Source organism: Homo sapiens, chromosome 22 (assembly GCF_000001405.40).
Source record: "Homo sapiens chromosome 22, GRCh38.p14 Primary Assembly".
Classification (NCBI taxonomy): domain Eukaryota; kingdom Metazoa; phylum Chordata; class Mammalia; order Primates; family Hominidae; genus Homo; species Homo sapiens.
In genome coordinates this window covers 25552518-25579121 of record NC_000022.11, presented here as the reverse complement: position 1 = coordinate 25579121, position 26604 = coordinate 25552518, and the positions used below count along the sequence as shown (strand labels likewise).

Below are 26604 nucleotides of genomic sequence, written 5' to 3'. Positions count from 1 at the left end.
TTCTAAATACCCTAAGAAGCAGTTTTTACAGGAAAGGCAGGATAAATGCTTAATTCTTTACCTTTTCAATTGCCACTATTCAGAGACAGAGTAGGTGCCTTGGTTCTACTGCTGGTGGTGATCAATGAGGTGTTCTCTTCTGTCTTGTTTGGGGATCTCTTGTGGATAGCATGAGATATCCACAAACTCATGCTTTGTTATTAGTTTGTTATTGCAGCCATAATAAATTACCACAAACTTGGTGGCTTAAATCAAGCAGAAATTGACTCTCTTACAGATCTGCAGGTCAGAGGTCTGAAATGGGCCTCCCTGGGCTGAGGTCGGTCAGAGTGTCAGTAGGACTGCGGTCTCACATGGAGGCTGTAAGGGACAGGCCATTTCCTTGCCTTTTCCAGATTCTACAGGCTGCCCACATTCCTCGGTCCATGGCCCCTTCCTCCTTCCTCAAAAGGCCAGCAGTGGTTGGTTGACTCATTCTCATGTTGCATCGCTCTGACACCAACTCTCCGCCTCCCTGGCGGTAACACTAGGGCCCACCTAGATAATCCAGGATAATCTCTTTATCTTAAACTCAGCACCTTAGCTGCTATGATGCCACCTACACCCCTAACGCCCCCTTGTCATATAACATAACATGTTCATAGGTTCTGGGGATTAAGATGTGGATATTTCAGGGGGGCATCATTCTGCCCACCACAGGGGGTTTGTATCAGTCATATTCTTTTGATGTTCAGGGTGTCTCACTTTTAGCCAGTGGAAACCCCTTCTTCTGGCCTCAGAGTTTGTTAGCGAAGGTGCCCACCACATTTCTTGGATGGCTCCTTTTTTTTCTGATACAACAGGTAACAGAGGGTCCAGGCTCATCTCACCCACACCTGGAGTCAGGCGCAGGTGTATGAGGTGCCTATGTGATGGAAATGCAATTGTTTCTTCGATTTTTTTAAAGACTGGGGATGATAAGCACACATATTTGAAAAAAAAATCATGAATTTCAAATAACCTTCCAATTCAAATTTGATCTTACAGAATTTTTATTTAACTCTTATCTTGTACTCATGTATCTCTTCATTTACACTTAAATTCTTGGTTCTAACCAAAAATGACATTATTCTTTTTTGTTTTACCCAAATATATATATGAAATAATTGTTTATATGAAATAATTTCAAACTAAAAATAATATTACTCTTAACAGTAAAGCTTCTGAATAAAATTAGAATTTCTTTGCAGCTCTACGTAGAGTAGACTATGCCCATATCTTACTTATTTCTAGGTGTCTATCTTAGAGAAAGGCTCACACATAGACCCAAAGGCACCTATGTAAGAACATTCACTGCAATTGCTCTTGGGCTTATGAGCACAGGGTCAAGTAGATCAGAGTTCTGACATCTCATGCAGCAATTCCAAACACTGAACAGATCTATATACTGCTGACGAGGAAAAGCTCCACGTGCATTACTAGGTGAAGAAGGCAAAAGCCATAAGTGGATTTACTAATGTGCTCCTGACAAATACAACTCTGTCCCAAGCTGAGCTCAACAACCTTTCTGGGTAGGGGTTAGATATGCAACCCGCTCCATTAATTTTCCATCACAATTTAGAATGAACTGCTAATGAGTGCCAAGTTTAACATTAAAAATCCTTTACGGGCCAGGCACGGTGGCTCATGCCTGTAATCCCAACACTTTGGGAGGCTGAGGCAGTTGAATCACTTGAGGCCAGGAGTTCGAGACCAGCCTGGGCAATGTGGCAAAACCCTGTCTCTACAAAAAGTAGAAAAATATTAGCCAGGCATGGTGGTGCACATCTGTAGTCCCAGCTACTCAGGAGGCTGAGGCAGGAGAATCAGTTGAACCTGGGAGGCGGAGGTTACAGTGAGCCGAGATCACACCGCTGCACTCCAGCCTGGGCAAGAGAGCGAGACTGTCTCAAAAAAAAAAAAAATCCTTTATTGTATCTAGAGTAACTGACAAACGTGTTCAAGTCAAGGATACTCATTTACCAACTGGCAGGCATGGAGATGAATTTTAATTAAGAATGCACCTAAAATCACAAAAAGATGTTTGGGGTAAGAAAACATTAAGAACTCATGACATGTAGCTTAGTTGGTTTCTCAAGTTATAACACTGCCATCATTATTAATAACAATCTTATTAGTTAACATGGAATCTATGACATCTTTTCTTCTAGGAAATTATTAATGTATTTATTATTAAGTTAACATGGCCAGTGAAATTATGCTACTGGAGCACTTCCTCAGACCCCTGCAGTGGATAATCTTTACTGAATGAATACAATGCATTTTCAAATTGTGTCACTAACGTCTGAAATTGACAGTGCTCCTCTAGTCAAATCCATGAGCCCCCTCCTCATAAAATAAGATTCACCAGGAAAAAGACAGTCTGAAGGTTTTTCTGAAAATACGCTGAATTTGGAATCAGAAAACCTGGATTTGAAGCTCAGCTGCACCATTTGTTATCAGCGCGACCTTGAGCAATTAGCTTCTCCCTGAACCTGAATTTCCTTCTTCTAAAATAAGATGATGAGTATTACAGAGCCATTTCCAAGAATCTCTAAATAAAGAAAAAAGCTTGCTCTCTGAGAATAAAAACTTTAAATCAATACATAACACAAATGGCCAAGAAATGGCAAAGGTTTCTGGTCTAGGCAGCTTTGGCAGTGGTTTCATGAACTATAGTCTCAAATCCAGTGGACGTGTGCCCACCAATTACAATGGGAAACATGAAAATATGGAAAGATGACTTGTCCCAAAGCCACTGTAGTCAGGGATTTCAGGTACTGGACATCCAGCGTAAGCCACTCCTAGGAGGGGTGACTTGGTCCCAAGTAACCATCTGACTCATCCGACTGTGGGTCTGTGCTCGCTATACCACCTTCTGATGGTCGTTTTGCTTCCCACAAGGGGGACCCACGAGAGAGAGCTCCAGCCACACAGACGCTGGGCACGTAGGCTCCTGTGGGAGCCAGTGTTTAATGCAATGTAGCAAACTGGACATTCTAGTTATAGTGTAGCTTTTCAGATAAATCTGTGTAAGTGAGTTAGCGCACTTTTGGGAGGGGGAGGCTCTCACTTAGTAGGATTCTCAAAAGGGTCTTTAATCTTAAAATAAGAACCAGAGGCCTATAGGAAGAGAATAATTTAGTCAGGCAGACTTGGCTGATTATGTGAGTTTCACAATAAGAGACAGATGCTTAGTACAGTGACATAATAAAATCTAGTTTCTGAGTCTGGAAGGCTGAAAGCCACTCCCTGCCCCACAGTCAAGACACTAGTATCTAAGGAGAAAACCAGCTGTCCTCAAACAGATAAAATATACCTCTCAATGTCTCCACATGGATGTATCTGGAGTAATTTTTTTCTTTTTAAAATTTCTACCTGCTACCAAGCATAATTGTAAAAACTAAAAAGAGTTAATATATATAAAACTATAAAACATCATCTACAAATCTTAGTGGGGTTTTTTTAAACTCTAAATAAATGACTATCTACCATGGGGTTTTCTTAAACTCTAAATAAATGACCATCCACTGTAATAAACACGAAATAAATGACCATCTACTGTCACTGGGTTTAATGAGCTAACCTTTATAACTACAGATCTAGAAGAGAAGTCCAGCAAGTTGGCCTCTCACTAAGATCATTTCAATACTGACCCAATTCAAACCCTAGTTCTAGAGCATAAGTTTCCTGAAAGTAAGGGAAAGAGGGTTGTGAAAGGCTAGCACCACTGAGCACTTCAAACTTGCCCTGCTGTTTCTATCTGCTCCACCATCATCTATGCTACCCCAGCTAGTCATAACCATAGGCCATAACGCTTCACTTAGAACTCTCATCTCAAAAGAAGGAGTTTCCAAATAAGCTTTTCTTATAGAGTAGCCTGAATTTTTAAAATATTTTGAAACATCAATCCAGCATCAAGCAGGTCACCTTACTTAAAGGACAGAAATGTGGAGAGTCAAGCTAGTTTTCCATGTGGAATTTAATAAGCCAGTCAACTAAATGATGAAACTCTAATAAATCCCTGTCCACAAAACTCTCGGTTTTATTTATTGGAGGGATGAAGAGAAACAACAAAGTCACCAACATACGTGTCCTCTCATTCATTGCTTAGAAACTGCTATTGTGCAATTTTTCTCTTCTATATTATTGGGATGTTTTGCATAAAAAACAAGCTTTTCTCCACTGCCACTAGAAACAAAACAGAAAGAAGCAGGTCCAAAATGGAACAAAAAAAGATAGCACAGAAATTTTGCACGCTATTCTAGACTTACTGGTGATGACGATATTTATTGCATGATTCTCTTCCCAGTTACTGTGTCATAATATAAAAAAAGACAAAGAAAATTCACTTGAAAAAGGTAGGACCAGGTTAAAGATGTGTATTAAAGTCCCTTGATCTTACTTAGCCATTAGGATTCGTTCCATTTTAAATAGAGAATAGACCCCGCCACCACCACCAAATACCTCATATTTTTTAAAAAAGATGTTTCCAAAATACCATCACGGCCTTAGACATTCACAAAGGAAAATGAAAGTCTGCAATATTTAACAGCTGTGTAAATGCCATTCCATGCAACTTTTAGTTTTTGGTTTTATTTGTTTCTTTGTATTTTGAGACGAGACCTCACTCTGTCAGGCTGCAGTGCAGTGACATGATTTCAGCTCACTGCAACATCTGCCTCCTGGGCTCAAGAAACCCTCCCACCTCAGCTTCCTGAGTAGCTGGAGTTGGGACCATAGGTGCGCACCACTATGTCTGGCTAATTTTCTGTATTTTTGGTAGAGACAGGGTTTCACCATGTTGCCCAGGCTGGTCTTGAACTCCTGAGCTCAAGCAATCCTCCTGCTTTGTCCTCCCAAAGTGCAGGCGTGAGCCACCACACCTGGCCTCATTTTTAATTTAAACTTTTATCAAAGGCAATAAAGATACAAAAAAAATTACAAGAAATACACCTGAAAATATAACCAGACATATTAGTATCCAAACAAGATAATAAAGATCAATGGACCGACTTAATGACACAATGCACAAATACTAACAGCATATTATTCAAGAAAGTTTTATTGCTGACATTGAAGAAACTTGCTGTCTTCCCCAGCCAATGGGATTTTATGGGTTTTTGTTGTTGGTGGTGGTGTTGTTGGTGTTGTTGTTTGGTTGGTTGGTTGGTTGGTTGGTTGGTTTTTTTGTTTCTTTGTTTGAGACAGAGTTTCGCTCTTGCCACACGGACTGGAGTGCAATAGCACGATCTCAGCTCACTGCAACCTCTGCCTCCTGGATTCAAACAATTCTCCTGCCTCAGCCTCCTGAGTAGCCGGGATTGTGGGTGCCTGCCACCATGCCCAGCTAATTTTTGTATTTTTAGTAGAGACGGGGTTTCACCATGTTTGTCAGGCTGATCTTGAACTCCTGACCTCAGGTGATTCACCTGCCTCAGCCTCCCAAAGTGCTGGGATTACAGTCATTTTATGTTTTTGACTATATGAAACATACCCCCTAATATCCTATGACCTTTTTCTGCATATTTAAAGCTCACTTTCTTCCTGAAATATTTTAGTCCATAATTGTCTAAGAATTATACAGTGCCTAGTACCTACTTAGCAGTCAGCAATGGCAGCTGTTGTCATAATACACATGTAACCCATACCTGGCTTCCAAACTCTGACTAATGAAAATATTCATCCCCTAAGCAAACTGGTATAATGAATTTTGAATCATTCAAGGAACCAAATCCTAAAATGGAACTTCAGAGGGACTCAATCACACACTTGAAATAGAATTTATTACTAGCTTTGCCATTACTAAATTAATTATGATAATTTTACAGATCTCTTTTTGGTCTTCATAAATTTTGATATTCTTACTCAGCTCAGTAATGTTCAGACTAATGAGCATAGATTACACACAGCAGTGTGCATTATGAGGAATAAGTAAAGGAGCTGGGGACAGCTTCCTATAAAAGGCATCTTGAGCTAGAGGAGCTGCCTTCAAATATTTGATGATCTGTCACATTTGAGGAACTAAACTTGTTTCTCACAACCACAAAAGGATAATAAGAGACCAGTGCACAGAAGGTAATACAAGAGAGCTTTCTGGTACAACAGTTTCCAAAGATGCTCATCAAAGATGCCTGTGGCTAGATATTAGAGAGGGAAGTCACTCATCAAAAAGCATAACTAGATTGGATGTCCCCCAACATCTTTTCAAACATGAGATACTACAATCCTATGTTATTCATATACAATCTGTTAATGTCTAAGAAAGACTGTAATGAATCACCTTATGCACAATACAATGAAGCCAGCTGCTTTCAGATCATGATTTTTGGTTCATTTTTCTGAAACAAAAACCTCTAAAGAATGAGTCAACTCTGCTAATTGCCTGGTTACACCTATTTAAGTAGCAGGCTTGCAACTCTTAGGCACTGATACCACCATCCCAGAGCCTACGGGATGGATAGATGGATAGATGAAAGACAGAAAGGAAAGAAGAAAGGGAGGAAAGCAAGCAAGCAAGAAAGTGTGAGTGCGATGAGATACCATCTCACGCCAGTTAGAAGGGCGATCATTAAAAAGGAAACAACAGGTGTTGGAGAGGATGTGGAGAAATAAGAACACTTTTACACTGTTGGTGGGACTGTAAACTAGTTCAACCATTGTGGAAGACTGTGGCGATTCCTCAAAGATCTAGAACTAGAAATACCATTTGACCCAGCCATCCCATTACTGGATATATATCCAAAGCATTATAAATCATGCTGCTATAAAGACACATGCACACGTATGTTTATTGCGGCACTATTTACAATAGCAAAGACTTGGAACCAACCCAAATGTCCACCAATGATAGAATGGATTAAGAAAATCTGGCACATATACACCATGGAATACTATGCAGCCATAAAAAAGGATGAGTTTATGTCCTTTGTAGGGACATAGATGAAGCTGGAAACCATCATTCTGAGCAAACTAACACAGGAACAGAAAACCAAACACCACATGTTCTCACTCATAGGTGGGAATTGAACAATGAGAACACTTGGACACAGGGTGGGGAACATCATACACCAGGGTCTATCATGGGGCGGGGGGAAGGGGTAGGGATAGCATTGGGAGAAATATCTAATGTAAATGACAAGTTAATGGGTGCAGCACACCAACATGGCACATGTATACATACATACAACAAACCTGCATGTTGTGCACATGTACCCTAGAACTTAAAGTATAATTTTAAAAAAAAAAGTGTGAGTAAGGTATCATGTGTAGAAGGTTCTAGACACACAGTACCACAATAAGCAGCTAGAGGAGGAAAACTGAGAAATCTGGGCAATCAACCTACTTATGAGTCTAAGGCTCAACAATTGCTCTTCTCTGTTCCAGCCAATCATCCAGCTTTTCAGAAGTCCTGCCTCCCAAACCCACTCCCTCCTCCCTCAGAGCACATGGCACCACAGCACTTGCAAGACTGCCTTAATATTCGCTATTATGTTGTACTTTTTTAAAGGTGTACTTGTATCTTATACTACACATAATCTCAACAACAATAACCCTATAGTATAAGTGTTTTTAATCATTTCTTTTAATATTCCTTCTCATCTTTTTGTTTGAGTTATCCGTGTCTGAAATTCAATATGGGTAATTTTTAATGTTTCCTATTATTTACAAATGTATTGCATAGACAGAAAATGCTCACAAGGCAGATTTTTATTGGGACATTATACAATCAGAAAGAAATAGATAATGTATTTTACTGATGGAGAAACTAAATACAGCAAATTTAAGTGACTTCCAGAGGTCCCATAGCAAGCTGCCAGTGGAATCAGATCCTTAATGTCTGGCTTCTGATTTAGAACCTTCTCTTCTATGACAGTTTGGTAGGTAGTAGGGATGGCACAGGAAAACGAGGGGCCCAGCAATGACAGTGGCTTTCTGGTGCACTAAGGATGGAGGTCTGGGCTGGCTATTTTCACATTAGCATCTTTTTCTGCTCCTGAAACTGCAGGAGAAGGAAATGGTGGCAAACAACAGTATAGGTCCAAGGCTGGATCAAGCTGACCTTTACCAACTACCTATCACAAAATATTTTACAAAATATGTCGCAAAAATATTTTCACTGCATTCGCCATGGGCTCTCTATATAGTGTCCTACATAGAAAGTATTCAAATATGTGTATGCTCCAGTGGAAGCAGAGGACCCAAAAGAAGGCTTCCAAAATTAGAAGAAACATTTACAGGATATGAAGAGCCACATTATTACTTATTCTGCATTTTAGGCTCATAGAGCAATCAAAAAGGGCCCAGGGGTTGTAACTTCTAATCAATGATAAAAATAGGAAGGGAAGATTAAAAAAGTAAGACACAGGAGAAGCAGAGGGGGGCCGGGATATCCAGTCCCATTTGCATGCAAATTACTTACCATACAAATGATTTTGCAATAATAGAGTAAAAGTTGCCAAATTAATCATTTCCATTTCCCCATTGCCAATGTCCAGAGAATAAGAAGAGACAATGATAGCCATGCAGACAGCCTACATTTTCACCTACAGTGGTCCGCAGATATGTGACTGTACTAACAAAGGAAGATTATGTGAATGAGAAAGTGATTTTTATTGCAAATAAAGCCAAAAATATTGTTTTTCCCTTTTACTCTTTTCCCAGAAATGAAAATTTCAAGGGAGGGGACAGCTCAGGCTGCCCCTTTTTTAAATAAAAAGGAGACAGGGCAGCTTAGGTGGCCCCTTTTCTAAATAAAAAGACAGTAGAAATCCTGTTTTGAGGCCTTGGGGGGTGAGATGGTGTATTACACAATTTCTCATTAACACCAGCAAGATTGCATGACTTGTGTTAAACAGAATAGGCATTTCACCTTCAAGCTCATGGGAAATAAGGAACAAGCTGCTTATTCACTTACTCATAATTACCGTTTTCGCAGGTCCCAGAGGAATTCTCTATCAGTCTCTGAGGACTCGTAGCTGATCGGGAGAGTACGAAAAAGGATTTTTTCCCCCAAATAAAAAAGTATCGCAGTTTCATCCATTCCTTGCAAAATAAGACGCGAGGGAGTTTGGTATTCGTTTTTGGTGGGGCAGCCCAGCAAGACCCTGCCTGGGCGGGGAAAGACCCCGAGCTGGGCGAAACCTGGGCGTCCCTCCTGCCTCTCCCACTGTCAGGTGTCACCTGGGCTGAGCTCCTTACCTTCCCTGAGTGTCTGCTCCTTCTGTTAAACGGAGCTAATGCAACTCACCTGGTAGAACTACTGTGGGGACAAATGAACTAATTATGCCAACTGCCTGACAGAGGATGAGCTCTCAATTAAAGGCAGTTATTACATTATTACATCATGGACGTTAAACTTCTCTTTCCCTTGCCAGGGCTCCAGGGACCCTAGGGAGGCCAGGCGTCCTGCTAGCTATTTAATACTACTTTGCATTTCACTGCTTTGCTGGCCAGCCACTGACTGAAAAAGACCTGTGCTTCCCTTCCTCAAGCCTTGACACCTTCGTCGGATAGTTTCCACCCTTGTCCAAACAGATGTTTGGCAAAGTCCGGTGTACTGGGGAAAACACTGTAAGAGGCTGTCTCTAAGAATCCATTGCGTGTAAAAGCTGGGACTGCCTGTACCTCAGAGAGATCTATGAGGCTCTCGATTCGAAGCATTTCATGATGCTCAGCTTTGGCAGATTCTAGGTCCAAAACTGATTTCACCGGAACATCCATTTCTAAGAATTGACATCTACACGCACTCCTTGCATCTTCAAGTCACTGGCACAAGTTAACTTGGACCAAGAATGAGATAATAACTGAAAGGTCAGAACAAATTACATTTTGAATTTGTACCTTAATGAAAAAGAAGCAAGAACACTACTGTTTCTTACACATAGAAACACTCCTATCAATAATAAGGAATACTTTCTTTCTAAAGGCTATTTGTGCTTTCAACGTGGACTTTTCAGTTCAAAATTAGGCTATGAGCACAGGACAGTGAAGACACAGAAAACTCTACAGCCTAAACGGAGAGGAGTATTTCAAGTTATCCACCAATCACTTACTGATTGGAGTTAAACAATTACCGAATAAACTCCATGTCCACTAAAGAAGAAAACTGGGACATTTTTAAAGATCAATTACATGTGGTGGCTACACAAACAGAAAGATGCAAACTACCATATCACCATGGAGACTATGTTTAGATAGTTCTTCAAAGGTAATCACTAACAAATTATTGTAAAACACCAAACATCATGTGTTCTATGCATTATGCTATATTCTATATTCATTCTTTATTATTCTATATTCTATGCATATAGAGTAATAAAAGTCATCCAAACGCTATTTGTTTGTGGTTAAATAAAATCTTCAAGCAAATACACTTCAAAGCAAACATCCTTCTTGGCTCAAATCTTTGTATTTCACACTAGTCTATAAGCTCCATGAAGGAAGGGGCTGTGGCTGGGTTTGTCATAGTACCCCGTGCCTGGCTCATAGAAATGGCTCTACAACTATGTACTGAATTAATGTCATAAACGGTATCATAAATGTCCTTTAAGGACTGTCAGTGCTCCTAGAAAATTATAAAGAATCTTTAAAATGTTGTTTCAGACCTTCCTATCATATTGTATGAATACTTTGAAAGGACAAGCTTTGCAATAGGTGATCCAACATTTGAAATGTCCAGTAAATAGAAATAAGACTCCAGGGGAAAGATGAAGTTCACATTACTCAACCGCCTTCAACTATATGTGATTTCAAGTCATCTGAATTTCATTCTGTTTTTTTTAAAAAAAAAAGAGTAACAGAGTAATACAGCCTACAGTAAAAGTCGTCTGAATCACTCCAGGGCTTAAGATGATGACCCTTTGTGGGCCTTTGCTTGTGAATTAGACCTTACTTAAATAAAAGTATTTCTTTTCCAACATGATGTAAAACAACTGGCCTGCACATCTAAATGCTCCTGTTTTAACTGGGCCTGCAAGGGAGGCTGTGGGTCACAGTTTACTACTCCCAGTAGGCCCCATTATCAGCTACATTAGCTCAACAACATTTCAGTAAACTAAAGCAGCTATACCATTTGGACAAACAGTCAGCTTTTCCAGGATTTGCACTCATTGGTTGGTTAACTGAATAAAGTGTCAACATAACAAAATATTTGCCTCTTGCCATCTCAGGGAAGCAAAATCTCCCCTGGGCAGAATGTTCCATTTTCTGAGACTCTCCTGTAATAGGCAGGAAGCTGCAAACCCAGTGTTTCATTTAAATTAGCTAGATATTTCGTTCTGATGCTCTTCTGTTTAAAACTGTGGGAAAGGCAAAGTAACTAAAATAAGGAAGCACAAAGAATAGTGACTGCAAATAATTTGCTGGAAATAAAAAAATCACTAGTGATAGACCAAAGGCAAATTAAAATGTATGCTTCTCATTCAGATACCAAAAATACAAATCTGAACATCTCTTTCAAGAATACCAAAAACTGGTGATCACATGGCTTCCTCTATAATGAAGCTGAAATAGAAACTTATCAGAAAACATTTGACCCGTATCCCTTTTACCAATAGTGTGAAGTCATACCAGCTATTTAAGTCATTAGGCTGGGGCATTTTAACATGCAATTAACTTTTTTACAGGATCTAGAAATTCCCCAACCCCCAACCTCCAAATCAAATAGGTAGGCCACTAACTGCCATCCAGTGGTAGAGAGAATTTTGCAAGATGTTATACCTGATAATCTCAATGTAACAGAATCCTAACACAGCACAAGGAGTGACTGTTACTATGTAAATAGCTACATTACAAAACTAAAGCCAAAGCCACTAAGATAAGTAGAAAACAAATTAGAATCTCAGGAGGAGGTTCCAATGGCCCAATTCGAGAGTCTATTTTAAAAAGAGCAACAGAGTAACAATTACTGAAGGGCTGTTTCCTAAAATTACTCTCTGGTTGGTATTTCTCAATTTTCAAATGTCATGAGAAATAATGCTGGCTGTCACTTACTCTGCCTTAAAAGAAAGCATTACCAAAGAATACCACTGAAAAACAAAGGCATTCATACAAGGAAGTGAACACCCTAAGTGCATAAGTACGTTCTTAAGAGGGACACTAAAAAAGCAGAAGTCACATTAAGTTCCAAACACCAAGAAAAAAAAAACTGAACAGAAGTTCCTAACTTTATTAATATTATATACTAGCCCCCCCCAAAAAAAAAACTGCCCATGAGTTGAGATTTATCAATTTTGTATATAGAAATACTACATATTTAGGACTCCCTGCCTTTGGGTGGTGGAGGGACACTAGGAAAGGCAAGACAAAAGAGGAATTAAGCCTTTTTCTACCACATTAGAAATGTACAGTTTTTTTGGTGAAATTTAGGTTTGATGTAGGCGTTCTTGTTCTCTAAGTAAGTTTCCCATTTGCCGGAAATTTTAAGCAGCATTGATTTTTTTCAATTAGCTTCAGATATGCTACACTCTGGAATAGGGGTGTTAAACTCACGACATTGCAGAAAGGTTTGCACTTTTCCCTCATTTTCACTACTTGGCATTGTCTATCAAAGAGTAGCACATCCTGCAAAACCAACAAGAGGCATGGGCTAAGGAGGAAAAGCAAGCTCAAAATACCTAGCAAGCATGTCTTCATTTGCACAATTTAGCTTTTCACAACAAATAACAAGGGGACTGGTATTTTCTGTATCATAGGGCTCATGGATGACTTGTAAAAAAAATCAGATGATGATCACTTAGCATTAGGTAACATTTAAGCAATCTTGGGCGCCTAACGCTTGAAGGACTGATGATTTCAAATGGACAATAACTTTGGTTTAGATTCCAATATTTTACAGAATTGCATGGTTTCAAATTCACCATAAACAAGATGCCTCTTTTGAGCATCAATTCCAAGAGCTATTTAGCATCAAGGAATCACATTAGCTGTACAACTCATGATGGTGTTAATTAGGAAAGGAGCTAGAGAAAAAAAAATCCATCACTGAAGCCTTGATACGTTATTTAAAACTCACTATTAACCAGACAAACTATTTTTTCTGGGGAAGTGCTAATGATATGAACTAGAAAAAATTTTACTAGTACCTTAATAATAAATCATTTGAGAGAAAATTGCAACTTGGTATGCACCTCACCGAGCCCCTCGCCAATTCAATCGGGCCCTCCTTTGATAATTTAACAACAAATTCCTGTCTGGAATCACCCATTCAAGTGTCTTTTTAAGTGACTCCTGTTTCAATTTTTTAATAAAGTGCCACCAGTAGATCTACAAGTTGAGGAAAGCAGCTCAGGTGACACACTTGGCACCAAAAAGAATACTGAGTGGGTCAAAATCCTGCCCGGGGACAAAATAGAAGAGAAGCCGAAGAAGGTGACTAGACTTAATAGACTTCAAGAAGAGCAAGTACTGAAAACAGCAGTTTAACTACCTCGGACAATAAGCAACAAGCCTGCAGTCCCCAGGTAAGCGGCCCAGAGGGAGGTGAGAGGATGGAGTTGGAAAGGGGGACCAATGAGCCCGGGAAGAAGGAGCGACCAGGATGGAGCGCAAAGCAGTGACAGGCAAGGAGCCAACGGGGACTACACCAATGCAACAGGAAGAACCACGGGGATGGGACAGGGCAGGACAGGACAGGGCTGGGGGGAGGGGGCGACAGGGATGGAGCTGGTCCAGCCAAGTCATAACCAGACCCTGGCTGGGGCGCTCGCTGCGCGCAGGGCGCCGCGCCGGGCACTTTGGAGCGCTCTCTCCCGGGGTGCCCCCCACCGGCCCTCCGATGCCCCATTTCAGAGACTGGAACGACGAGGCCGGCCCCGCATCGCCCGCTCCGCTGTGTCACCCGCCCCGGGGCAGCGGAGGCTCAGCGCCCGACCCTCCAGGAAGCAGGGGGTAGCTGGCGGCCGCAGGGGGCGGCGGCTTGGGGCCGGCGCCGGCCGGGGCAGCTGGTACCTGGGCTCCGGCAGGACGATCCTCTTGCTGGCGCGGGCGGCCGGGGTCGCCTTGCTCTTCTCCATGGCCATCAGGTAACTGACATCGGCCAGCACAGCCTCCAGGTCCGCCATGTTGGCGAGCTTTGGCGGCGGCGGCGGCGGTTACTCCGGACCTGGACGGGACGCGCGCCCGCCGCCGCCGCCCGCCGCGCCCCGACCTGGGGGGGCCGCCCCGGGGCAGCCCCCCCCTCCGCGCGCCCCCGCCCCGCGCGCGCGCCGCGCGCCCCACTAGCGCTCTGCGCGCGCCGCAGGCTGTAGCCGGCCGGGGTCGCAGCACGCCTCCCCGCTCCGCCCCCTCGCGCGCCGCCCGGCGCCCCGCGCACGCGCGCCGCCCCCTGCTCCTTCAGCGAGGGTCTGCGGGGAGCGCGCGTCCAACGGTCAGCGCCCCTCAGTGCACAGTCCCAGCGGCCTCGCTGGGCCGGCGCCTCCCGACCAAGTCTCTACGGTCGCCCTCCCCTCGGGGTGGCCACGAGGGACTCCTCCTCCTCTTCCTCCTCCCCTCCCTCCCCCTCGGTCTCCGCCTCCTCCTTCTCCTCCTCCTTCACTGCCCCGACCTCCCGCCCCAGGTTCCACGCGCTCTGATGCCCGCCCCGCTCACCCAGAGAAGCCCTGGGCCAGACGTCCACAACCCAAGGGGTTATGGGGAGGCCTCTGCTCCCTGGACACAGTAGTTCTCAAACTGGACAGTGTCAATCAGCATCCTCCGGGAGGTCTGGGGTGGCCCCGGAAATACATGTGTCCCACCTATCCCAGCAGGTAATGATGAAACTCCTGCTCTGGTCCGGGCTACCGGTGAACAGCGCCCAGCGGGCCGGGCCCCCAACCTCGCTCCTGAGCCTGAACATCCCCCCAACCCCACCGTGAGAATTCAGCGAAGAGTAAAAGCTGGAAAAAGTTGCGTGTCTTAGGCTAAGCAGAACAAAGTGGGGTGACGGCTCCCCGGCTAGGAACAGAGATGCCCTTAGGGAGCCCTCTGATGGAAGAGCTCTCCGCTTAAGAAGGTCACCACTCCCTTACACTCAGGTGAGAGGTTTTAGTTTGGGTGTTGAAATGGTGTTGAGAAATAGAAGGAGAGAGAGTATTCCTGTCGTTAGGGTTTTACGGTCAATACAAGAGACAATTAGGGAGCATCTGCTGCGAGCACACTCGCACCACGAGGGTGATTTAGGGAAGTGGAAAAGCGAGATACAGCCCAAACACCGAAGCTGGGGGGAATTTCCAGCTTCCTGATCTTCGGTCTCGGTGTCTTTCATCATCACTCCACCCCGATGCCTGGGGTTTTCAGTTGCTTATTTTTCTACAGTGTGCACACAAGTCCGCATTCAGGATCCATGTGACACTCAGGCTGGAGTGGTGGTAAGGGACACGCAGGCAGTCTTAGGAAGACCTAAGCTGGAAATTAATGTTTTAAAATCCCTTTCATTCACCTGAATTGGTCACGTATTTCCATGAGCCTAGACGTTGCTAGAATTTGAGTGAACGTTCTGTCCATAACTTACAGGGTTAACGGGACCCACCAGATACAGTTAAGGTCAAATTTCAGATATTTCATGTAATGTCATTGCAGAAGCAGCCTGATTCTGTCATCAAATAGCCTGTTTCCCTCTTTTGTTTTCTCTCCCACGCCACAGCCCCCCTCAATCTGATTCCCTGCTATGCCTGCCATCACCACTGGCCAGTTTTACCACATGCTTCTCAAGACCCAAGGCACAATAGGCATAAAGTTGTCCTGAAAAGGACAAGAGGAGTGTCAGAAGTAGGAATGGCAGTTGAAGGAGCTTCGTCTGCCAGCAGAAAGCTGAAATGACAGGCAAGCACAAAATATATTAAGGAGACAAAGCTATGCATGAGCGAAATATCAAACTTTCATCTTCTACCCACTTTTTTTTTTTTTTTTTGCTTAAAAACAGGAAGACAGAATGTCTTGTCAAGGGTCACCCCAGGAGGAGGAGTAAATTCCCCAAAAAGCGGAACATATTTTTATGATTTAATTAATACAATTTCTCTCAATGTGTCTGTTTATCATTTGAGCATCCACATGATCAGACCTGACATCTGCCTACATTTTCTTGGTCGTCTTTGACTTCAGTTAAGAACCTTTTGCTCTTTGTTTTCCCCCAGCAGCACAGTATATTAAGTTTGGAACAAGACACACCTGAAATCAAATCCCTGCTCTGTGCTGGGTGATCTTAGAGGCAGTCTTTTACCTCTTTCTACTTTATTGTTCTCATAGGAAAAGTGGAAATGAGGCCTTTTACCCCAGGGTTGTTGAGAAGACAGAGGAGAAAAAGCACATAAAAATGCACCTTGTCGGGCGTGGGGCTCACACCTGTAATCCCAGCACTTTGGGAGGCTGAGGCAGGTGTATCGCTTGAGGCCAGGAGTTCAAGACCAGCCTGGCCAACAGGAAAAATACATTAAAAATAATGTCTCTATTAAAAATACAAAAATTAGCCAGGTATGGTGGTGCACGCCTGTAATCCCAGCTACTCAGGAGGCTGAGGCAGAAGAATCGCTTGAACCCAGGAAGCGAAAGCTGCAGTGAGTCGAGATCGCAGCACTGGGCAGGCACAGTGGCTCACACCTGTAATCCCAGTACTTTGGGAGGCTGAGGTGGGTGGATCACAAGGTCAGGAGATGGAGACCATCCTGGCTAACACGATGAAACTGTATCTCTACTAAAAATACAAAAACAAAATAAGCTGGGCGTGGTGGCGGGCGCCTGTAGTCCCAGCTACCTGGGAGGCTGAGGCAGGAGAATGGCAGGAACCCGGGAGGCAGAGCTTGCCGTCAGCCAAGATTGCACTGCTGCACTCCAGCCTGGGCAAGAGAGCAAGACCCTGTCTCAAAAAAAAAAAAAAAAAAAAAAAAAGCATTTTGCCTGGCACCCAGTAGATCCTCAATAAAGGTCATGGCACTTCCTCTATTTATTTTGCTTCATTTTACCCTGGCATGCTAGAGAAGATACTGAAACTAGTTGTTCACAGTCATTACACTTGAAGCAGGAAGACCCCTTACCAAAAATAACATCTCCCTAGGGCATTTCTAGGAACCAAAATGGCAAAAACATTTGCATCTATAAACATGAGCAATTACTCTTTTGGCAGAAAGACCAAGGAGTCCAAAATTTGGTCCTCTAACTGAGGCCCCTACACCATTTGAGTCAGCTGACTCAATTACCCAGGGGTATTTTTTTCTGGTGTTCATAGTGTATGAATTTCTGTTCCCTGGCTGTCTCTTTGGTTGTCTCACTTTCTCCACCCCCTCTTCTTTCCCTTTTTCTTGACTCTCTTGATACTGAACAGCTTTTTGTGTTCACTGCAAACAAAAGGGGTTAATGACAGTGATGATGAAGTTGTCATAACTGACCTGCTGGATCCTGTTACTAAACACCATCCCCAGCCTGTAATCATCACAAAGAACAGAAAAAACAAATAGCAACCCATTTGTACTTAGCTAATAATGCTCCCTTGCAAATAATTATGTCTCCCACCCCCAGAGGATTTAAATGACTTGGGGCTCACGCTGCTTGTGATAATAGACAAAACTCCAGCGTTCCCACAAGATTAATAATGTTCCCTTTTCTTCTTTTCTATGCCTTTCCATCGTTACAGGAGATGTTGCTGAGATGGGTGCATTAAAGTTTAGGCTTTCCAGAGTTTATATTGCTAACAACTTGAAAGGAAAAAAGCTAACTAGAGAACTGACTGGTCTTATTTGTTTTAGATTCTGGGCTTTACTAAGACTTCCTACTCTCAGAATCTCTGGACTATAAACGCTGGGTGGGGTGGGAGCTGGGAATGTTATTCTGGAAAATTAATCACAAATGAAAAGAAAATCAACTCTAAGACTCCAGTTAGAAGATTTTTGAAAATGGCAGAACATGACTGGCCTTCATTCAAGTCAGAATATTTAAAGCAATCCTTGCTAAGAAGAACTTGATTTTGTATAAGCAGTCCCTTAAATACAGTTGCTTCTCAAGAAAACCACACACAATTGATGTTTGAATGGCTTTATTTACAAACATCTCACTCCGTAAGCCTCTGCAGGTATTTCTAGCCTCCCAGGGGCCACTGTCCCGTTTCACCTGTAATTTGGATCACAATTCTGTTTGTTGTCACACACATCATATGAACTGCTTTTCATGCTGCTTTTATCCACAAAGCTTTACAAGCTTTAATGGCAGCTCTATGTATGACAACTTTATAAAGATCTGCCAAAAGGTATGATGCCAAGCTTTGCTTTTATTAAACTATTAGCTATTAGCACTGAAACGATGTTCAGTAGAGAAGTACTCTCCTTTCAATATGTGAGTGGAAACACATTTCTCTATGGGGACTGCTGGTCAGGGACTCACTCTAAAGAAAAGCCACAGTGTTGTGGTTCAGAGCATGGGCTCAAAAGACAAATGGATAAGAAGCCCAAGACCAGTCCTTCTGAGCTGTGTGACCTTAGACAAGTTGTCTAATCTCTCTGTGTCTCAGCTCTGCCTCAGTGTTGTTAATGGGATTGCCGTGAGAGCAATGCTGTAACATGTAAAAAGCACTTAGAACTGTGTCTGGCACACAGAAAGCACTCGATAAATATTGACCTGGTTAGCAGCAGCAGCAGCCATCGCTGGAGCATCTCTACATCATACAGGGCCCGATGGAAAGAGACCAGCACTGAGAATGAACAGAACAGTGCTGGCTCTGACCCGCTGGCTCTGGCATTGCTGAATAACTCTAAGCAAGTCTCTTAAGCTTTTTAAATATGATTTTTCACCAGTAACTAATGAAGGGATTGAAGGAGCAGGTCCCCTGACGTCTTTTCAAATTCTAAAATTCTCCAGCTTTATTTAATCCTGCAGTGAATCCTTTTGCAAGGTAAAGAGTACTCGCTCCCCTCAATAACATCTTATGAGTTTAGGTTTCGGTGCATAGGGCAATACCCAGGGCATAAATCATTTCCACTGTCACCATAGCCCGCAGGTGAGGTGAGCAATCCATTAGCTTGCTTCTGGAAACAAGCCTGTCTGTATTTGTTCCCCCAGCATCTGCACTCAGCACACTGACTTTGCTCAGTATATGTATTGGATGGATAAGTGAGTAAATGAATGAATGACATAAAGATCATAGATTGCCTCAGCCTTCTATTGGAAAATAACCTAAAGGGAGGGGGAAAATTACTACTTAAAACCACAAGTGCCACTCAAGGGATGCCTCCTATGAAAGGAGGAGTGCTAACTGCCAGGTCCCCACTGGTTCTTCGTGCTGCTTATGGCCTGGAAGGCCTCTCCTGCAGCCAAGAGCCCTGATGTGCTTGGGCTGTGCAACGGTGAGTCTGGGGTGAGTCTGGGAACTTTAGGCGCAGGAATGGAGAGCGCTGACTCCCTTTGCCTAAGAAAGGGGACTTAGAGGGGAACTTGAAAGAGGGAGTAAGAGAGAGGGCAACAAGAGGGGCCGAGGCTAGGCAGTCCATGCAGCGGGTGCCAAGCCTGAGGTGGGGTGGTCTGGAAATCATTCCAGAACAGGAAATATGTTCTTCTGTCTTCTGTGCCATTTTAAGTTCTGTACAGCAATGCCTGCTTTTCCAGTGATCCTTACAACTTCCCAGCTTGTATTTGTGGGTACTTTGATGGAAAGTTGCAGGGGAAGCAGGGAACTAGGGCTGGGATCAATACCAGGACCAAGATAAAGGAACAGCTGTAAGAGCAAGAGAACAAGAACTAAGCAAAAGCAGGGAATTTGGGGCCTGCCATGATGATGGGAACGTGGGCTCTGAAGATCCACAGACAGCCAAGGCAGGCCTCGGCCTCTCCATGGGACTGGAAAGCTCATCTTGTCTCCCTCTCAAGGAGTAAGAAGATGACTTCTGGATACGTGAGTCACAAAAGGCCAGAACTTTTCTGCATCTCCCACGGCACCCCCTTACAAGGGCAGGTCATTTTGGGGCATGCCACCTGGGCCAGTGGCAGCAGGTACTGAGCAAATCCACCCCCCACCTCTCAGAGCTTGTCTCTTCCTGTCCTGGCCAGGTCTGTTTCTTCTCTCTTGATCAACAGAAATAACTCCCAAACTGCTTGGTATAGAGCAGTTCATGAATAGAGATTCAAACAGGTCACACTCAATTATGAAATCAGGGTGCCTGGGCCAGGCCTGGCATAACCCTGATCTCAGAGGACCACCCCTACCCTCCCCAGGGAGCCACCAGAGAAGCTGTCACATGCTCCTAAGACGTGCTTGCCACCAGCACCCCCAGACACTTATGTGCTGAAATTGCCAACATGCAGATTCGGATTCAGAGGTCCAATCAGGGCCTGAGAATCTGCACTCCTTGCAAGCCCCCAGGTGGTGCCAACACAGCAGAAACATTGACATCTTAGGCCCCACCACAGACTTAAGCCAAATCTGCACTGGAACAAGATGCCCAGGCAATCTCCCACCCTGAAGTTGTTCAGACTGGCCTCACTTAGGGGAGGGAGTTCCAGATTAGAGAAAGGTCAGATCAGCGGAGCCCAGATGGACAGCCACCAGACAAAGGAGGAGAGGAGGGAGAGGCAGGTCAGAGAGATCAGCCGGCCTTGATTCTGCAGCACCTGGAGCCACAGTGGGAAATTGAAGCTATCCTCGGGGCACCAGAAAGCCAGTGGAAGGTTTCCAAGAGGAGAGTGACAAAATCAGATGGACCATTTTATAGGATTCTTCTGGCTGGGGATGCAGATCCAGTTGGAGGCAGGGGGGGATAGTTGAATTAAGGGAGGCGCTAGAGAGAGCTAGGGTAGCAGTCCAAGAGACCCAGATGAGGGTAGCTGCAGTAAGCAGACCAGCACATCACTCATGGTCCAGGGTGATTTGCAGGCCTCTGAAGCAGCCAAGTACAAAACGAAGGCCCTCCCACTTCCCTTCTCCCTGGACCAGATCTCTCTGACTTCTCACCTGGAAGGTGCCCACAGGTTGCCAACTCCTTGTCCTGTTTCCAAACCCTCCCTCCTTCAATCCATCTGACACTCTCCTGCCCCTGCTCAAAAACCTTCAATAGCTCCCCATTGCCTGCCAAATGATCTGCTAACTCCTCCACCCACACTGTTATGTTCTACTTCTATGTCTGCCTAACCCGTGACACAGTAGTTCACACTTTCATTCATGCAACAAATATTTATTGAGTATCATCAATGTGGCAGGCACTAAAAAGAAACCACTCATCTGCCAAGGCACATAATCAATTTCAGGAGGCTTATAGCCACACTGAAATGCTCTTCCAAATAAGTGCTTTGGCTGTAGCAAATGAAAATAATAATAGAAAACACTTATTAAATACTAACTTTGTGCCAACTATCATGTTAAACACTTTGTGGGACTATCTTAATAATCTTCCTCAGACACCTATAATGGAGAGGGTTGGCCTCATTTTTCGTTTTGTGGGTTTTTGTTTTGTTTGTTTGAGACAGGGTCTCACTCTGTCACCAAGGCTGGATTGCAGTGCTGTGATCTCAGCTCACCGTTGCCTCAACCTCCTGGGTTTAAGCAGTCTTCCCACTTCAGCCTCCCAAGTAGCTGAGACCACAGGGATATGTCACCATGCCTGGCTTTTTTTTTTTGTCTTTTGGGGGGTGCTACCATGTTGCCCAGGCTGATCTTGAACTCGCGAGCTCAAGCAATCCACCCGCCTCAGCCTCCCAAAGTGCTGAGATTGCAGGCGTGAGCCACTGTGCCCAGCTGGTTGGGCTCATTTTAGCCAAAAGAAAAATCTCAAGTCACTTGCAACGTAAGTGCAACAACTAAATTCATAGGGTATGAATTCAGGCAGTCTCAACCCAGGACTTCTCCCTCAACCCCTGTCCTCTGAATGTCCTTGTACTCTAAGTCATGGGGCTGTGAGTGAAACAACATCAAATAAGGCATGTTAAAGTGCACAATAAAACCCCATTCAAATTCTCTTTCCGACTCACCTCATGCTAATCCCAAGTCCTCCCATGATGCCCGGGTCACACCGACCAAGCAATTCCAACCTTGAGGGTTTTGTCTTCCTTTTCCATTTGCCTGGAACACTCTCCTTCAAGGCCTTGTTTTGGCCTCTCACCATTCAGATCTCTGCTCAGATATCACCCCTGGCATCTCTGGGAGAGAAGCCACTGAGACACTTGTAGGCAATAATGGAAATCTGCCAAAAATTCTCTTGGTGGGCTCCTATCACGTTCTAAGCCCTTTTCTCCTGTTTCCTTTTTTCTGTCTTCCTCTCCACTTCCTCCCACCTCCCCTTGCCCCTTTAGCCCTTCAAGAACAAGTGCCTCTCTCTTCTCCTCCGTGTTCTCCTCCTTAATCAAAAGCTGCTCTCATCAAAAGATGTCCTGTCCATCATATACGCCTTAGTGTGAATTTGTTGGTAGGTCAATTTTCCCAGAAATGTCTGATTTATTTTTATTTTTTATTTTTTTTTTAATTTTTTTGAGACCAGGTAAGTCTTGCTCTGTCACCTAGGCTGGAGTGCAGTGGTGCGATCTCGGCAATCTCAGCACCCTGCAACCTCAACCTCCACCTCCCAGGTTCAAGCGCTTCTCCTGCCTCGGCCTCCCGAGTAGCTGGGATTATAGGCATGTGCCACCATGCCCAGCTAATTTTTGTATTTTTAATAGAGATAGAGTTTCACCATGTTGGCCAGGCTGGTCTCGAACTCCTGGCCTCAAATGATCTCCCTGCCTTGGCCTCTCAAACTGCTGGGATTACAGGTGTGAACCACCACACCCGGCCAGGAGTGTCTGAATTTTAAACCATATGCTTGATTATAAAATAGTAGAGTTTGCCTTTCTTAAAGGAATTTCATACAACTGGGTTGCTAGTTTGTGTGTGTGTGTGTGTGTGTGTGTGTGTGTGTGTGTGTGTGTGTGTGTGTGATATGTTAGGGGCAGCAGGTTTTTCCTTAACGCCAGGAATCATTCAGGCTGACTTTGTTCAGCTGGAATAATTTCAGGCATCGTGATACAGTTGAAAGGAAAGAGGATGAACATTAAAATAAGGAAGGCCTCAATTTGAATCTCGCTTCTGACAGTACTCGAACGATCTTAGACTAAGTGATTTCACTCTGACTCCCAGTTGTCTCTTTTATAATGTGAGGGTAATTAACTATTGTAAAGATTATTGTAAGAGCTAGATGAGATCACAGGACACACCATAAGGGCTCAGTGGGGCTGGAATGCGTGAAGTCCTCTTTGGAGCAGTCAGGCCTGATGGACCCCGTGCCTGGGCTCGAAGACACCTACACACACTCCCAGGGCCCCCACTGCTTATAACTGTTTCTGGAAAGAACTGAGCATGAAACTTGGCAGGAGACCACAAAACGTCCTGGAATCCTGGCCACTGTCAAGTCTAGAATGCTCTCCTCCAGAGAATCACATTCTTGGGGCCAGTGTTGGAGCATGGAAGACTTAGTTGGGGATTGGAACTGCTCCAGCCCTGAAGCCCTCCTTCCTGTCCCTGTAACCAGCAAATGTCACTGTCTGTCTTGCCAGGCTAACAACCTTTCTCATAAGCATCACCAAACCTGACCAGACATCAGTCCTCTGAAAAGAATCATAATCCAGCCACCATAAACCCAAAAGCCAAAGTGGTAATTATCTAAAGATGAGGAAAGGTTTCCTCCCAGGCCCTCCAGGGGCCAAGGAAGTTCTCACATTAAACAGTTACACTGATCTCCATTGATTTCTTCAGTCCATCAACCAATTATTGGCAACTTTTTCTTGGAAACCTACTGTATGTGAGGTACCGGGATGACAGTGGTGGACAGGTAGACACCCTCCACCTTCATGGAATAACATATTTGCAGGGGGGTGCATTGGCAGTTAATTGGTTAATTTATTAAAATTGTGCTATGAGCCAAAATGATGTAATAGATGTCTTTGAAGAGCCCACAGTTGGTTGTGGGTCCAGGAGGCCTTCTCTGAGGAGGTGACATTTAAGCTGAGAATGGAAGGAGGAACAGAAGGGGGTCAGAGACAGCCTCCAGGTGGACCATACAGCCAGGCAAAGGCCCTGGGCGGCAAACAAGGAGCATAGCTGGGAAGCAAAGAGTAGGATGTGTGATGACACCTGAGACTGGGCAGAGGCCAGACCCTGCAGGGCCTTGGAGGCCACACCAAAGAGCTGGGTCTTTGTCCTGAGAGCAATGAGAAGCCAGAGATGGGCTTTCAGCAGGGACGTGACATGACCCAATTGACCTTATGAAAGAGAACTCTGACTGCTCTCTGGATAATAACCTTTCCCTCCCTTTAACACAGTCCAGAAAAGGCATGTGTGGGGGTGGGGAGCCGGCTGGATTTTTCTGGAGGACTTTCTTTATAAACTGCTTTAAATAGAAATGAGAGGAAGCAAACAAATGATAGCTCTGTCCATCCAGGCCTTAATTTTTCTAAACAAACAAGAACCATGGGCAACTGCAGGCAAAAGTGTTTCCACCCTTGAGGTCTTGAAAAGAAAAGTCCCAGTCTGTTTCACCTCTTCCTCAGAAGTGCAGGGAACAGTGTGTGCTATGCAAATAGATGCCACATACAGATGGTAACTTGTTGGGCTAATTGGCTGGGGGCAAAGGCTCTCTGGGGCTCACCCAGGGATGGTGTATTTGACAACATCTGACCTCTCCCCTGTGCTCACTGATCTTTCTTACTCCATCAGTCCAGCTCCCATCCATGTGGACACTGAGCACATGATCAGGAAGCTTCCCAGGCTGAATACTTGCTCAAGAAATGTTGCTGCAGCTAACAGCCCACTGGGGAGTCTTTGTGACTCTTTTGATCCCCCCTTAGAATCTAGCAAATTGCAAGAGAAAAAGCAATTTCCCAAGACTGGAATTACAATCCCGATGTCATGGGATGTTTGGCTCAGAAAGCCTTCATCTGCTTGTCATGAGTTATGGGATTTCAGCAGCTCTCCAGGGAGTTTTCTCCCATCTACTAATGGTGTGGTTGTCTGTCACCAGCACTTAAACTGGGTGAGATATGTTGGCTGATATGATATTGTGATTTATAAAGATTAATAGATATTCTTATTACATATTCATATATATTAATATCATGTATATATTAAATATTCATGTATATATACATTTGGTCTTCATCCATTTCCTGGCACAGAGCTCCTAAAATCCTTGGAACCTCCAAAATGTTAAGAGTGTCTTTTGTATGTTAGTGAGATGACTGGTGGCTAGGGTCCCTAGACAACTTCAAGATGGGGACTGGTTACCCACAAAACCAAGGCATGATTAGACGGTTGAGACTAAAAAACAAAAATAGGATCTGGCTCTGTTGCCCAGGCTGGAGTGCAGTGGTGTGATTACTGCAGCCTCAACCTCCCAGGCTCAAGCAATCCTCCCACCTCAGCCTCTTGAGTAGCTAGAACTACAGGCACACACCATTATGCCCAGCTATTTTTTTTTTTTTTTTTTTTGTAGAGATAGGGTCTCACTATGTTCCCCAGGCTGGTCTCAAATTCATGGGCTCAAGCCATCCTCCCTCCTCAGCCTCCCAAAGTATTGGGATTACAGGTGTGAGCCACCACATGTAGCCTAGAGTTGAGACTTTTAATTCCACCCCTTAGCCTCTGAGGAGCAGAGAGGGGCTGACGGGTGAGTTGACTACCAATGGCCAGTGATTTAATCAATCATGCCTATAGAATGAAGCCTCCAGATAAATGCAGAAAAACCAAGTGGGTTCAGAGAGCTTCCATATAGCTGAACACATGGAGGTCCTGTAGTATGGTGTGCTCAGAGAGAGCAGAGATGCTCCTAGCCCCAGGACTTGCCCTATGCATCTCTTCCACCTGGCTGCTCATCTGTATCTTTTGTAATACCCTTGTAATAAGCCAGTAAACACAGATACGGTGTTTTCCTGAGTTCTGTGAGTCACTCTAGCAAATTAATTGAACTTGAGGAGGGGGTCATGGGAACCCCAATTTATAGCTGATTGGTCAGAAGTGTAAGTGACAACCTACTACTTGCAATTGGTCAGAGTGAATGGAATTAGAGGACGCCCAGTTGGTGTCCCCTGAATAATTGACTGGTTGCTGATGGGAAGAAATCTCCACACTTCTGGTGTCAGAAGTGCTGTGTTGAGTGGTATATGAAAGTAGAAAAAACACTTGGAATTTTCCTATGTCTATTAGCTGATCAAATCAGATTTCTTTTTTTTTTTTTTCATTTTTTTTTTATAGACAGGGTCTTGCTCTGTTGCCCAGGCTGATGTGTGATGGCATGATCATCATGGCTCACTGCAGCCTGGACCTCCTGGGCTCAAGCAATCCTCCCACCTCATCCTCCCAAGTACTAGGACTGCAGGCACACACCACATGCCCAGCTAATTTTTTTTTTTTGTAGAGATGGGGATCTTGCTATGTTACCCAAGCTGGTTTCAAACTTCTGCTCTCAAGCAATCCTCCTGCCTCGGCCTCCCAAAGTGCTGGAATTGCAGGCATGAGCCACCATGCCCAGCCAAATCAGATTTCTTGATTACATTCTTTATCTCCATGCAGAGACAAATCTTTTGTATTAGTCATTGCTGTGTAACAATATGACCACACTTAACAGCTTAAAACAACAAGAAGACATTTTTGCAGCCAAAAAACATGAA

The 26604-nt window shown here is 44.0% G+C and overlaps 1 protein-coding gene and 1 long non-coding RNA gene across 19 annotated transcripts in view, besides 4 other annotated features; one reads left to right on the top strand and one right to left on the bottom strand.

The window, feature by feature from the left end:
• The window catches only part of GRK3 (G protein-coupled receptor kinase 3), a 164620-nt gene extending 150173 nt beyond the window's left edge, over positions 1-14447 (bottom strand). For all 3 annotated transcript variants that reach the window (NM_005160.4, NM_001362778.2, XM_047441167.1), the window contains exon 1: positions 13969-14447. In NM_005160.4, coding sequence (NP_005151.2) covers positions 13969-14081 — 113 coding nt within the window. In that variant the 5' untranslated portion in view covers positions 14082-14447. The remainder of the gene's footprint in view (positions 1-13968) is intronic.
• Positions 11773-11952: an enhancer, noted in NCBI's record as "active region_18787". NCBI's record gives its function as "activates an Ori minimal core promoter by ATAC-STARR-seq in GM12878 lymphoblastoid cells {active_cell/tissue: GM12878}" and the evidence as "EXISTENCE:reporter gene assay evidence [ECO:0000049][PMID:35858748]".
• Positions 13235-13750: an enhancer, noted in NCBI's record as "NANOG-H3K27ac hESC enhancer chr22:25961339-25961854 (GRCh37/hg19 assembly coordinates)". NCBI's record gives its function as "activates a minimal SCP1, AML or CMV promoter by ChIP-STARR-seq in naive H9 embryonic stem cells {active_cell/tissue: H9 hESC(naive)}" and the evidence as "EXISTENCE:reporter gene assay evidence [ECO:0000049][PMID:30033119]".
• Positions 13706-18234, top strand: GRK3-AS1 (GRK3 antisense RNA 1). Of its 16 annotated transcripts, none has more exons than NR_183563.1 (4): positions 13706-14042; positions 14766-15032; positions 15641-15819; positions 17624-18234. It is a non-coding gene; the product is annotated as a GRK3 antisense RNA 1 (long non-coding RNA). The 16 variants fall into 16 exon arrangements; NR_183564.1 differs by having other exon boundaries at positions 14763-15032; NR_183556.1 differs by lacking the exon at positions 13706-14042 and adding an exon at positions 14236-14386.
• Positions 13862-14111: a silencer, noted in NCBI's record as "silent region_13562". NCBI's record gives its function as "represses an Ori minimal core promoter by ATAC-STARR-seq in GM12878 lymphoblastoid cells {active_cell/tissue: GM12878}" and the evidence as "EXISTENCE:reporter gene assay evidence [ECO:0000049][PMID:35858748]".
• Positions 14422-14521: a silencer, noted in NCBI's record as "silent region_13561". NCBI's record gives its function as "represses an Ori minimal core promoter by ATAC-STARR-seq in GM12878 lymphoblastoid cells {active_cell/tissue: GM12878}" and the evidence as "EXISTENCE:reporter gene assay evidence [ECO:0000049][PMID:35858748]".
• Positions 18235-26604: the final 8370 nt, after the last annotated feature.